General features: G+C 60.9%; 2 long non-coding RNA genes across 2 annotated transcripts, besides 4 other annotated features; both read left to right on the forward strand.

The window, feature by feature from the left end:
* Positions 1,151-1,320: an enhancer, noted in NCBI's record as "experimental_46429 CRE fragment used in MPRA reporter constructs". NCBI's record gives its function as "activates a minimal promoter by MPRAs in K562 erythroleukemia cells, with activity observed for both the introgressed and non-introgressed 16:89225609 variant alleles {active_cell/tissue: K562}" and the evidence as "EXISTENCE:reporter gene assay evidence [ECO:0000049][PMID:34662402]".
* LINC00304 (long intergenic non-protein coding RNA 304) lies at positions 1,255-5,710 on the forward strand. The gene is made up of 4 exons (NR_024347.2): positions 1,255-1,425; positions 1,743-1,916; positions 2,251-3,594; positions 5,157-5,710. It is a non-coding gene; the product is annotated as a long intergenic non-protein coding RNA 304 (long non-coding RNA).
* Positions 1,704-2,203: an enhancer, noted in NCBI's record as "H3K27ac-H3K4me1 hESC enhancer chr16:89226077-89226576 (GRCh37/hg19 assembly coordinates)". NCBI's record gives its function as "activates a minimal SCP1, AML or CMV promoter by ChIP-STARR-seq in primed H9 embryonic stem cells {active_cell/tissue: H9 hESC(primed)}" and the evidence as "EXISTENCE:reporter gene assay evidence [ECO:0000049][PMID:30033119]".
* A 2,707-nt stretch (positions 5,711-8,417) lies between the features above and the next one.
* On the forward strand, positions 8,418-11,182 carry LINC02138 (long intergenic non-protein coding RNA 2138). The gene is made up of 3 exons (NR_046200.1): positions 8,418-8,534; positions 9,172-9,341; positions 10,144-11,182. It is a non-coding gene; the product is annotated as a long intergenic non-protein coding RNA 2138 (long non-coding RNA).
* Positions 8,806-9,654: an enhancer, noted in NCBI's record as "H3K27ac-H3K4me1 hESC enhancer chr16:89233179-89234027 (GRCh37/hg19 assembly coordinates)". NCBI's record gives its function as "activates a minimal SCP1, AML or CMV promoter by ChIP-STARR-seq in primed H9 embryonic stem cells {active_cell/tissue: H9 hESC(primed)}" and the evidence as "EXISTENCE:reporter gene assay evidence [ECO:0000049][PMID:30033119]".
* Positions 9,655-10,502: an enhancer, noted in NCBI's record as "H3K27ac-H3K4me1 hESC enhancer chr16:89234028-89234875 (GRCh37/hg19 assembly coordinates)". NCBI's record gives its function as "activates a minimal SCP1, AML or CMV promoter by ChIP-STARR-seq in naive H9 embryonic stem cells {active_cell/tissue: H9 hESC(naive)}" and the evidence as "EXISTENCE:reporter gene assay evidence [ECO:0000049][PMID:30033119]".

The raw sequence follows: 13,061 nt of genomic DNA on the forward strand, positions 1-13,061 counted from the left end.
TGTGTATCTCACATGCCTGCATGTCACATGTATGTGTCTCACACGCCTGCATACACCACAGGTATGCATGTCTCACGCCTGCATATGTCACATGTATGTGTATCTCACACGCCTGCATGTCACACGTATATGTCACACGCCTGCATATGTCACATGTATGTGTATCACACACCTGCATACACCACAGGTATGTATGTCACGCCTGCATATGTCACATGTATGTGTGTCTCACACGCCTGCATATGTCACATGTATGTGTCTCACACGCCTGCATAAGTCACATGTATGTGTCTCACACCTGCATACACCACAGGTATGTATGTCTCACGCCTGCATATGTCACATGTATGTGTATCTCACACGCCTGCATATGTCACATGTATGTGTATCTCACACGCCTGCATACACCACAGGTATGTATGTCTCACGCCTGCATATGTCACATGTATGTGTATCTCACACGCCTGCATACACCACAGGTATGTATGTCTCACACACGCCTGCATATATCACATGTATATGTGTCACACATGCCTGCATACACCACATGTATGTCACACACATCTGCATATATCACTTGTATGTGTCTCACACACCTGCATACACATATATGCCTCACACGCCTGCATCTATCATGTGTGTGTCTCACACACCTGCATATATCACATGTATGTGTCTCACAGCTGCATACACCACAGGTATGTGTCTCACACACGCCTGCATATATCACATGTATGTGTATCTCACACGCCTGCATATGTCACATGTATGTGTATCTCACACGCCTGCGTATATCACATGTATGTGTGTGTCACACACACACCTGCATACATACAGGCACATGGACACCTGTGTGCACACCAGTCCCTCCCTTCCCCGTCACCATCAGGTTCAGCCGGGCCTGTGGTCACTGCTTCCCCGAGGCAGCTGCAATGGGGCCCCGGCTCCCCCTACATGGTGCGTCTGATCAGGTTGGGACTCGCTCAGGTAGCTCTCATCACAAGGTCCTTGTGCACTGTTGCGGCTGCTCTTGGTGGCCCTTCTAGAGCCTTCCTGAGCCAGAGCAGACTCCTGCTCCCCCCAGACCCCCTGGGAGTCGATTCTGTCCCCTTCTTCCTGGCCGCAGGTCGGTGCAGCCGCTTTCCTGCCTGGAAGAGTAAAGTGGACCCTGTGTGAAAACATTGACGACGTGGCAAATGAGCAGCAAATTGATCAATACGAATGATCACGCCCCATGTGCATCTCCTCAGCAGCCACAAGAGAGACGAGGTCACTGGAGGATAAACATCCGTGACTGCACCTCATGATCCATCACGCACGACGGCCGCAGCATCTCCTGCCAGCTGCCGGCACAGACAAGAGCACGGGATGGACGACCGCGGTAGCAACGTGGGGCTCATCTGCCTCTCTCTGAGCAGGAAGCCCGTAGGTCCCCACAGGCGGGTGCACGGAAGGGGTGGGTCCTGGGCCCAACAGGCACCCCCTGAGCACCAGCCCGTCTGAGGGTGGGCGGAGGGCGCTGCCGCAGGTCCCCACATACCCAGCGCACGCTCACCCCACACTGGAGGCACCTGCCGGGTTCTGACACCCCTCGAGGTGCCTTCCCAGGGTTCTCACACCCACTGAAGGCAGCGCGCTCAGCCTGCTTTGCACATGAGCCGCTGAGGCAGGCGAGTTGAGGGCGAGGGTGTGAATCACGAGCTTGGGGCCAAAGCCCAAGGTCGTCCCCTCTGGCCGGCAAGCTCAGGCTCACACGGGGAGCCACCAGGCTGGACTGGGTGCAGCTTACGGACGTGGCGCGTGCTGTGGGCGTCGGGCCGCGGCTCCTCCATGCAGTACTTACACTGCTGTCTGCAGATCGCACCCAATCAGGAGGGAATGGTCCAGGCAGGTGGGCAAGGCCACGGTTTGGCCAGGTAAGGCTGGGAGGGCCCAGGATGATTGTGCGTTGAGCCAGGCAGATCTGGAGAGGCGGAGGGATGGGGACGGAGCGCCATGCAGAGGCCGCTCGGTCCTCAGGAGCTGAGCATCACCCTGGGAGTCTCAAGGAGGGTGTCCCCTGGCCTTAGCGGGCAGCCAGGGCCAGCATGTGGTCTGTGGCAGCCGGTCTCAGAGGTGGCCTGGTTCGCAGTCTTGCTGGATGGAGATCCCCAGCTCCTAGGGCAAGGGCAGGTGGGGTGGGGCCGCCTCGGTCAGCTGATAGGAACTGAACTGAGAAGGCTGTGAGCCGCTGAGTCGCCCTAACTGCAGGGTGGTCCTGCGGGCAGTACTGAGCCCGCCCTGCTGGGCACCCCACAGCCCCTGTGGCTCTCCAGCTGCCACTGAGGCCGGACGCCTCATGAGGAGGCTCCCATCTGTGGGTGGCAGAATGACGGCCCCGAAGACCCCCCGCTTCCTCACCCGAAGACCCCCCGCTTCCTCACCCGAAGACCCCCCGCTTCCTCACCCGAAGACCCCCCGCTTCCTCACCCAAAGACCCCCCGCTTCCTTGCCCCGAAGACCCCGCTTCCTCACCCTGGGACCTGTGAGTTCACACAGCAGCGGGGACCTGCGACTGTGGACGGCACATCAGCTCCCTCAACAGGGAGGCTGCCCTGGGTGACCCGCGAGGGCACAGGGTACCTCCGTCCTGCTGAGTGGAAGAGGGAGGCCATGGCGGAGGCGGGCGTGAGGGGGACTGGCCTGCCACTACTGGCTTCGTGAGGGGCCCCCAGCCAAGGAGAGGCCTCCCGAAGCCGGAAGAGGCGGAAAATGGATTCTCCCAGGAGCCTCCAGAAGGAACCTTGGTGTTGGTGGAATGGGATGTGAGAGGACACGCGGGTGATGTGTCTTGGGTCACACCAGTTCCCGGTCCCCGCACCAGCCCGCCCTGGGCGGGAAGCCTAAGAGGAATGGAGGGGCCATCGTGGGGCTCTCCCGGAAACTGGCCCCGGGTGCCTCGGTCCCTGCGTCAGTGCGGGGTTTCGGTGGCCGCCCTGCTGGCTCCGGGCACTCCCTCCGTCTTCCTGCCACGCGGCTGGTCCTTCCTGGGCTGGGCTGAGTCACCCTCCATGCCCACCCGTCATACCCGGCAAGAGCTGGGGGCGTGAAGCCAGGCCCAGGTGGGCTGTGGCGGCATCCAGGTGGAAGGACGTGGAGGACTCGGAGGCGGAGGGGTCTCCAGGGCAGGGCAGGGCCAGTTGCCTGGGGCCATCTGCTGTGTCCAGGAGCCCGGCGCTGCCACTGGCCTTGCCCCAAGGCCCAGCTCTGCCCTTCATCCCTTCAGCACCTCCCCGTACCTTCCTTCCATGGGTCTTAAGCTGTGGCAAGTCCTTAAGCTGGGACGGCCAGCGCCAGCCCTGCCCCCAACAGGTCACTCAGCGGCTCGGAGCCCACGTCCTCCTCGGTGACACAGGAAAATGGTGCAGTTGTGCAAGGGCATGAGAGGGTCCCGTGGAAGGCACATTCCAGAAGGTTCTGTCCCATGGAAGGCACGTTCCGGAAGGTTCCATCCCATGGAAGCCACGTTCCAGAAGTTTCCATGCTGTGGAAGGCATGTTCCGGAAGTTTCCGTCCCGTGGAAGGCACGTTCTGGAAGGTTCTGTCCGGTGGAAGGCACGTTCCAGAAGGTTCCTAGCCCAGCTCCAAACACAGGCTGCAGGCTCAGCAGAGGGGTCTTCTTCTTGCCCACAGTCCCTGACCAGTGGGCTCCCCAGGGCCCTGTCGGAGCTGGAATGGGTGGAGCTTGGTGCCTGCAGGCCAGTCAGCACATCTTCAGAATCCATGGTGCTCCCAGGCTGGCCCAGGGCCTTAGGAGCACAGGGTGGGCACAGGACCCCAGGCTCTGCCAGCCAGGCCCTGACCGTCCTGGGCCAGCCGCTGCCCCCGTTCTGCATCCGCCCCTGTGCGATGCGACCTCTCTGGTGGCGCCCATCCCAGCTTCATTCCCCTGTGGGCCCTGCTTCAGTCTGCCTGGGACACGTGGGCGCGTGTGTGAGTTCGCATCAGCGAGCATGCGTGCAGCGTGTCACATATACATACACGTGGGCGCACCTGCACACCCATGTGTCACAGAGGAGGGAGACGGACTCACACGTGGTGGCCCTAGCCACACCCTCAGTCCTCTCTAAAGCACCAGCCGGTGCCCACCCAGGCAGCCCCTCATCATAGGCTCACAGGGCACGCCCCCCATTGCCAGTCTGACCAGACACTCACAACCATTCAGTTACTCTAGCCACGGAGTCATCAGTCTCCTTCATTACCACCTGCCCACCCTCCTCTGCCGCACAGCAAAGCCCATTAAGACAGCAGCAATGCGAGCAGCACGTGGTGCCTTTCATGCATCAGCCGCTTGCCCATATTCCCACCCCATGGGGAAGAGCTTCATCTTAGCTAGAAAAAGATGACACCCCACACCAGCTGAATAGGCTGCGTGCACACACACCTCCACACGCGCACATACACACACATGCTGACAGGTGTGCACATATGCGCACGTGCACACACAAATACGCACGCACAGCACACACAGACACATAAGTGTCCATAAACAACACAGATCTGGCCTCAGAGCCACCCTCCAGGTGCGGCTGCCCCGGGCCCCAGGTGCGGCTGCACCGTGCTGTGGTGACAGCCACAGCAGGATCAGAGCAGCCTCAAGGCCCTTCAGGAGCCGGCAGAGCTGGCCCCAGGCTGAGCTTGGGGAGGTGAGCCCAGGCCTGGGACCGACGCTTCCTAATTGGCGGGCAGAGTCCATGCAGCCCCTCCCAGTCTACACGGAAGCCCACGTGTCCACCTCCTGCTTCTGCTGTCCCCAGGACAGTGAAATTTACTAATGTGGATTAAGAACATTTTTTAAATAAAAAAACATTTTACACATTGAGGACGGAAGAGAGAAGATTACGGCCAACCAACCCCGTGCACTTCCCCGCCCAGGTTCATGGAGTCTGAGCCCTCTGGCCTCCTGAGCCTCTGGGCTCTGTCACCAGGTGGGCGCCTTCCCCAGCCCGTGAGGCTCGCTGCTCACGGGGGCCCCGATGCCTGAGTGATGTCATGGATTTAGGTTTCAGTGCTGGCACATGTGGCCCGCAGAGCTCAGCTCCTCTGTGAGGGACGTTTCGGCTCCTGTGGGCTTTGCTGTCCCCCATGCTGACTCTGCCTCACTTGGTTGTCCTCAGGTCACTCTGTGCGGTGTGCACTGACCCCAGCCAGTGGATGTTCCCCGTCCAAGAGCAAAGCTACAGTCGGCTGCAGGTGCAGTGACTTTTGCACAGTGGAAGAATTTCTCCAGAAGATATTCCTGCAGGTGGAATCACTGGATCGTAGGCCCAGATGTCTTCCACTTACTTGATTTTGCCTGATGCCTTCCAAGGAGGCTGTGCACAGCAGGTGTGAGATGCCCCATCTCACCAACCGGCCAACATCCCGATGGGAGATGTTGAGTTTTCACCACGCTGCTGAGTGTGACGTGGAATCTTCTTATTTTAGCTTGCATTTCCCTGATTACAAGTCAGGTGGAACATCTCGAATATGTTTCTGGGCCATTTGATTTTCCTGCAAGTCACCTGTTCCAGTTCTTTGCCCATTTCCTGTTGGGTTGGTCAATATTTTTTGTGATTACACGTTGGATACGTGGCTGGCCTTTGGCTTGCCTTTGACTTCGTTTGTTCTATCGAAGCATGTGCAGAATTGTTAAATTTTAATGTATTCAAATGCATTAATCTCATTTCTTATTTTTGTTGTTTTATTTTTTGTTTTTTGTTTTTTTGAGACAGAGTCTCGCTCTGTCTCCCAGGCTGGAATACAGTGACACGATCTTGGCTCACTGCAACCTCTGCCTCCCCACTTCAAGCAATCCTCCTGCCTCAGCTTCCTGAGAAGCTGGGACCACAGGCATGTGCCATCATGTCCGGCTAATTTTCTTTTTAAAATGTTGTAGCAATGGAGCCTGGGCTCAAGCCATCTTCCCACCTCAGCCTGCCAAGTAGCTGGGACCACAGACATGTGCCACTGCTGCGCCCAGCTAGCCTTTAATATTTTTAAATGCTGTAAGATCTGCAGGTTTTTTTCCAACCAAGTTTATAGCTTTTCACCCCACGGATCCCCGAGGCCATGACAGGCAGTGACCTCCTTGGGGCACCCGCAGAGTCCTCCCCCCCATCTTGGGAGGGCTTGTCCAGTTTCAGTTTTGTTTGTTTACTAGGCTTTGTTTTACAGTCACTAGTTAAATTTACTAAGATTTTTCAACTTCTTGTCTCAAGGGACTTCATTTTAATAAACAATATCTTTTCTCTTTTCTTTCTTCCTTTTTTTTTTTTTTTTTGAGACGTAGTTTTGTTCTTGTTGCCCAGCCTGGAGAGCAGTGGCACAATCCCGGGGTGTGGCTGCTCAGCCTGGAATCCTGGCCCTGGGGAAGGCTCCGGATCTGTCCCATGGTTTTTGAACCATCCTGGGTGCAGGCCTCTTTCTGGGCCTCCCCTGGTCCAAGTCCACTCTGTCTGGAGAAGGAGAAAGAGGATAACAGGAATGGCTGGGCCCTGGAGCCCTGATCCCCCAGGACGGCCCAGCCTTTCTTCCCAGCCCTGACGGCCGCAGAGCCCTGCCTGTGGGCCAGGCCTGGAGGGGTCATCGGAGGGGTCGCTGAACAGCCTCTCTCCCACCAGCAGCTGGAGACGGAGATTAAACGCGGGGAGACTGGCAGCGTCAGCTAAATTGATTCTATTACAGCGACTGATTTAATCTGAATGGTCGTTACTGTGATTTATACGGCTGCTTGGGATTCTTTGCTCCCAAATTTGTCTCCCGTCCACTTGATATTGATTGAAAGACGATGGAGGAGGTGGGGAGGGGCGGGGCTGCCTGAGCTGACTCAGGGACCCCTAACCCCTTCCTCTCTGCCCCGATTGCAGGGGTGCCAAGCACAGCTGTGCTGGGAAGAGCAGGAGGCAGCGGAGAGGACCTGGTGCCCTCCGTGTCCAGCACACGCCCCCTGGCCTCTGCCCTCCCTCCCACCCAGCTCTGGCCCAGAAGCGCCTGCCACCAGGCGGCCCATCCTTCCAGAAGCTTCTAGCAGATGGGACCGTCATCTCCCAGCCGTGGCCCTGGCCGGCCCCCCCAAAGGGCAGGGTGTGGAATGACCCAGGGCAATGCTGGGCTCCTCCGATGACGAAGCCGGAAGCTCAAAGGGTCTCTCTGAGGACTGGGGGCCTTACCCCAAGTTTCTTCATGTCCAGGGATCAGAACTGAGAGCTGCCAGCTCCTGAGGCAGCCCTGCCCTCCACAGGTGCCAACCACCACCCAGGAGACGGGATGGTAGGAACAGTAAGATGGTGGTCAGGAGGCAGCCACCCTGGCCTCCTCCAGTCTGGGCACCACCCAGCTCCAAGAGCCAGGCTGGGTGGCCAGGGCACTGCCACTGTCCCATGGCACAGGCTACCTTCAGGGACACTGGGGATGAGGCAGCCCCTGGACTATAGATGCAGCCGGGGTCCCTTTAACTCCCATCCCTACCCCGTGCCCTTCTCCCTACCCAGAAGCTCCTGTCCTTGCAAAGGACAGCACCCCCGCCCGCCCTCCCTGGGCAGCCAGCAGTTCTCACTGCCCTCTCCGGGGTGCTCAGTGCCTGTGGCTGACGGGGAGGACAGGTTTTGGGGGCACTGCCCTGTGCTCCCCATGCCCACCCTACCATGGGCCCAGCATGCTCAGGAGGACCCCGTCACACGACCTTCCTTCCAGGGCCCCAGAGCATGCGGAGCCCCTCCTCCCCTCTGCGGCCCCTTCCTGCTCCCTCTTCCACCCTCCTCCCTCCCTCCTGTCACAGTGTTGGGTTATGGGGATAAAGGACAGAGGCCTGGGGCACTGAGGGAGGGACAGAGACACCCACGCAGCGGGGGAGAGGACAGACGTCCGGAACTGGGTAGAGATGGGCCGTGGGTGGGATTTGCTGGGGACAGAGACCTATGCAGTGGAGGAGAGGACAGACGTCCGGAACTGGGTAGAGATGGGCCGTGGGTGGGATCTGCTGGGGACACAGACCCACGCAGCAGGGGAGAGGACAGACGTCCGGAACTGGGTAGAGACGGGCCTGCCGTGGGTGGGATCTGCTGGGGACACAGACCCACGCAGCAGGGGAGAGGACAGACGTCCGGAACTGGGTAGAGATGGGCCGTGGGTGGGATCTGCTGGGGACACAGACCCACGCAGCAGGGGAGAGGACAGACGTCCGGAACTGGGTAGAGACGGGCCTGCCGTGGGTGGGATCTGCTGGGGACACAGACCCACGCAGCAGGGGAGAGGACAGACGTCCGGAACTGGGTAGAGACGGGCCTGCCGTGGGTGGGATCTGCTGGGGACACAGACCCACGCAGCAGGGGAGAGGACAGACGTCCGGAACTGGGTAGAGATGGGCCGTGGGTGGGATTTGCTGGGGACAGAGACCTATGCAGTGGAGGAGAGGACAGACGTCCGGAACTGGGTAGAGATGGGCCTGCCGTGGGTGCGATCTGCTGGGGACACAGACCCACGCAGCAGGGGAGAGGACAGACGTCCGGAACTGGGTAGAGATGGGCCGTGGGTGGGATCTGCTGGGGACACAGACCCACGCAGCAGGGGAGAGGACAGACGTCCGGAACTGGGTAGAGACGGGCCTGCCGTGGGTGGGATCTGCTGGGGACACAGACCCACGCAGCAGGGAAGAGGACAGACGTCCGGAACTGGGTAGAGATGGGCCATGGGTGGGATTTGCTGGGGACACAGACCCACGCAGCGGGGGAGAGGACAGATGTCTGGAACTGGGTAGAGATGGGCCTGCCATGGGTGGGATCTGCTGGGGAGGGGAGCGTTCGCATGGTGTGGGGGGCTGGACAGCCACTCTCTCCGGGACCACAGCTTTCTGGGCTGGGGCAGGACAAGGCCACTCATGCCCCACTTGCCCTTCTGAGGTTCAGCCAAATGAGGCTCCCACCCCCATGACTCACAAGGCAGCTGGGAGCTCCGGCACTACCCGTGGGGATGGTCAGGACTCTAGGGGCCTTGGGGGGTGTGGGCCACTCCACCGTCAGCCCCAGCCCCATCCCCAGCCACAGCCTGTCTTTGGAGGGTGCTGACTGGGGGCCATTGCAGCTTATGGATCCCTGTGAAAGCCTGAACATCGGGAGCAGCCTGGTGACCTCTGCTCTCTGGTTCCCCCAACAGTGCTGTCCCACGTCCCCACCCCTGTGGCCAGCTCCGCCCACTCAGCCTCAGCCTTGCTGGGGCCTGGCCCGACCTCAGGAGTCCCTGCTGGCCTGGCCACCCTTGTGCCTTCGCCTCAGCCATCGGGGAGGCTCGGGTGGTCTCAGGGCCAACGCCAGGTGAGACCTCAGGTGAGCTGCCCCCCACCTTCCCAGTGCTCAGGGCCAGGGAAAGGGTGGTGGGCATGGACCACACTTGCAGCCCCCCCCTGGGGCATGCCTGGCCGCTGGCCTCCCTGATCCCTGCCCGGGTTGGGGCTCCAAGGGCAGGAAGTCAAGGCGTCCACGCTTGGTGACAGTGCTGGGCCGGCCTGGAGGGGGCAGGCATGTCCAGCATGGAGACGGAAGCAGGGAAGAGCCCATCGTCCCCTCCCAGCTCTGCCCTGAACACCCTCCAGCAATCGGAGGAGCCCGCTGCCCTTCCCCCACCCGCCTCCACTGGCATCCCTGGAGCCACACTGCCCCCTGCCGGGGCTGGCGGGTGTGATGGGCCACCAGGCCACCAGCCCTGACCCCGCCAGCCCTGAGCCCGCCAGTCCTGAGCCCACCCGAGCTCTTACGGCTGCACCTTGAGCCAGTGCCTGGTTGGCTCCTCTGTCACTGTGGGGAGATGGGACGCAAAACCAGTGTCAGGCTGGCTGGGCAGGACAGGACCCCACTTCCCCAGGTCAGGGACAGGCCTGAGGGAGCCCCAGACAGGCCCGCCACCCCCTGACCCCTCTGTGCCCAACTCCCCGTAGAGCCAGGACTGACCGTCAGGCTCCAGGGACCTGCTGTCCCCAGGTCCTCAGGAGGGCCAGCACCACCCCGCCCCCACCAGCAGCCCCTCCTGTCTAACATGTCCGTCTGTCTGTCTGTCTGTCTGTCCGTGTGTTTTGAATGCCCAAGATGTTTTAAACAGACTTCTCGAATATTCTTTTCATGTGTGTTGCAGGGGGGGTCAGGGGCTTCTGAACAAAAACGGCACCCCCATACCTGATGGGGCTCCTCTGAGCCCACCTGGACTGACCCCCTGTGGCCGCCAGGGGCAGCTGGTGGCCTGCCTGAATGTGGGGGCAGTGTCACCCCTGAGCCCAGAGAGCCGGAGCACAGCAGGGTCCAGGATGGCCCCAGCTACAGACACTGCCTGGCTTCCTCCACACCCCGAGATCCAGCTGCGTCTCCTCTGTCCCGGGGAAACTTACGGGAAACTTATGGGCGGAAGTCCCTCTGCAGGGCCCACTACCCAGAGCCAGCCACATGCACTCAGGCCAGGGCTCAGGGGCCGTGGGGGCTGGTGGCCCCAGCCCTTCTGGATCCACTCCCCACCCCTCACTCACTCCGTGGGGACCTTCATCTGCCTAGATGGGCTGGTCTGTGCTCTGACGGCCCCAGGACTGGGTGTCGGCCTCACCCCAGCGCCCTGGCGGCCTCCCGGCCAGAGTAGAATGTTGGAAGGGCATGGCCCATGGCCGACGCCAGGCTCCCGGCCAGGGCCCACCTGTGTTTGTCTCCTCACCCCGGCCTCCTCCAGCCTCAGGCCCTGCCTGTCAGACAGGGGCACTTGCCCAGGGGCTCCTCAGGGAGCAGTTGGTACCTGCAGAGCAAGCCCCCAGAGCCCCTGCCACAGGCACCCCAGCCTCAGGTCAGGTCTGGAATGGACACAGCCCCCAGACCAAGACCAGGGCCTCCTCACCCCGGGGTCCCCTCCCTTGGTGTCGGGTGTCACCCAAACTCCCTGGACGTCACCCTTCTGCCCTCCACGCCCCACACCCTGGGTAGGAGCCGCCTTCACAGCTGCTAACCCCTGCCCTCCAGCCCCCACTGCCTCTTCGGTAACGGGGCTGTGACTGGCCTAAGCCCTGGGCCTCCACAGGGCCCCTGTCCAGCCCACCTTGCTCAACCGCAGCGTTCCGCATCACGCCTGCCCCTTAGTGGTTGGGGTGTGCATGTATATTTATACACTGTAATTACATAAATACAATTTAATAATCAAGGGTCAAGTGCCGTTACTGCACTGTGCAATTACAGAATCACTCCAGAGCAGACACCATGGCATCTCAGCTGAAAACCGGCACCCGCCTGCATCTATCGTGAGAAAGTTGGAAATTCCTTAGCCCAGCCTCGACCACTGCCTGCGGTGTTGGGAGGAGTGGCCAAGGGCTGGGGGTGGGGGGACCTCTGGGACATCCAAGACTGCAAGGCTCCTGGGGGGTCCGGGACCCTGTTTGTTGTCCCCCCGTTCCTCATACTGGGGAGAGGAAATAGGATGGGAACTGAGGCTGTGGACCAGGGAGCCCCCTCTACATCTTGGCCGGCCCACCCCCACCTCATGCCCATGAGGTGCGTCCCCCGAGGTGGAGAGTTGAGGTGGGCAAGGCAGAGGGCAGGAGTGATGGGGGTGAGTCCCAAAGGCTCAGGACTGCAGACTCTGGAAAAAGGAGGAGAAGGCCCAGAGTGGGGTCCTAGCTGGAGGCTTGGGGTGCTGAGGGAGGGTCCGGCGTCTCCAGGTCCACCAGGAAAGGGAAGGGCTCTTCTAGGGCTGATGGTCCTGCAGCCGAAAATGTACCCCTGCCCCCACTGCACAGGACCTCCAGACTCAGGGTACCCAGCCCTTCCCTGCCACCTACCTCTGACACAAGGAGAAACTGAGGCACGGGGGAGAACCTCCAGCCCAAGGCTCCGAGCTGGGACTGGACCCAGGCTCCTGCCTCCTGACCTTCCTGCTGCCCTGGGAGCATGTGGAGCGGGGTCCCTCGCGGGGGCACCTGCCCCTGGGGGATAGCCCGCCAGCCAGGGAGCACACCCTCCCGCAGTGGTTAAGCCGGCTGCTTCCCTGGCCCCGCCCTGCATTTGGGGCTCACCCAGGACCTGGCCCAGCTTAGCCTTTCCCTTAGAGACCCCCACATCCCATGGAGGAGGGATTTGGCCTCCGTTTCTCCCCGAGGTGGGTGGGAGGCAGGTGGCTGAAGCGAGGTGGGTGCAGGGTGGAAGCGGAGAGGAGCTGGGGTTGGCAGACCGCAGCCTCCCCAGACCTCTTTCTGGGGGGAGGGCGAGCACTTCTACCTCACCCCTGCACTAGTCCCGTGAGGATGAAAACCAAAAGCACTCAGAGGGCTTCTCCACCCCTATTTTGAGGTCACTGACCACAGAGGCAGGATGGTGGTCCCCAACAGGCTACACCCCAGCCCCAGAGGCCTCCCAGTCTGGAGATGGACTCCCTGCCCTCTCTCATCTTGGAGCAGTGAGCGCTAGGGACAGTCCTGGCCTGAGCCTCCCGGGCAGCCTGGCCTCCTTTCAAGCAGGCCAAGTGCACAGATGCTGCCTGCACCTGCACAGCCACCCGCCGTCGACAGGAGAGCAGAGGTACCGGGTCTGCTCCCATCACAGAGAGGAACGGGCTCCCCGGCCCGGCCCTGGGCTGGTCGGCAACCCCCACTCCCCACCCTGCCTGCTCAAAAGAAAGGATCCTCCTGCCTCCAGCCCCCTCCACCCCCTCTCCAGGACCTTCCTGACCGTGCGCTGGGCCTGTGCAGGTGTTGAGCCACACCCACACCATCCCAGGGGGCGGGGTCTCGAAGGGGAGAACAGGTGCCACAGTCAACAGGAGGGAGGGCTTCTGGCCGAGGTGGCAAGGAGGCTCCAGGAGGCGGCAGCGTTGACCTTGGGTGTTGAGGGATGATGAGAAGGAGTTCTGTAGGAAGGAAGGTGCTCCAGGCAGGGGGCCTCGGGGAACAAGGGGATGCTGGAGGAGGTGCGTGGACTGGGGGAATTGGGGGTGTCCTACGAGCCACGCTGGTATCAGAGGCGTGTGAACCAGAGCAGTTCCATACTGAATAAGAGCTGGGCAAAATGAGGTCGCGAGGAGGTGCG

This window comes from Homo sapiens, chromosome 16 (assembly GCF_000001405.40).
Source record: "Homo sapiens chromosome 16, GRCh38.p14 Primary Assembly".
In the NCBI taxonomy this organism is placed as follows: domain Eukaryota; kingdom Metazoa; phylum Chordata; class Mammalia; order Primates; family Hominidae; genus Homo; species Homo sapiens.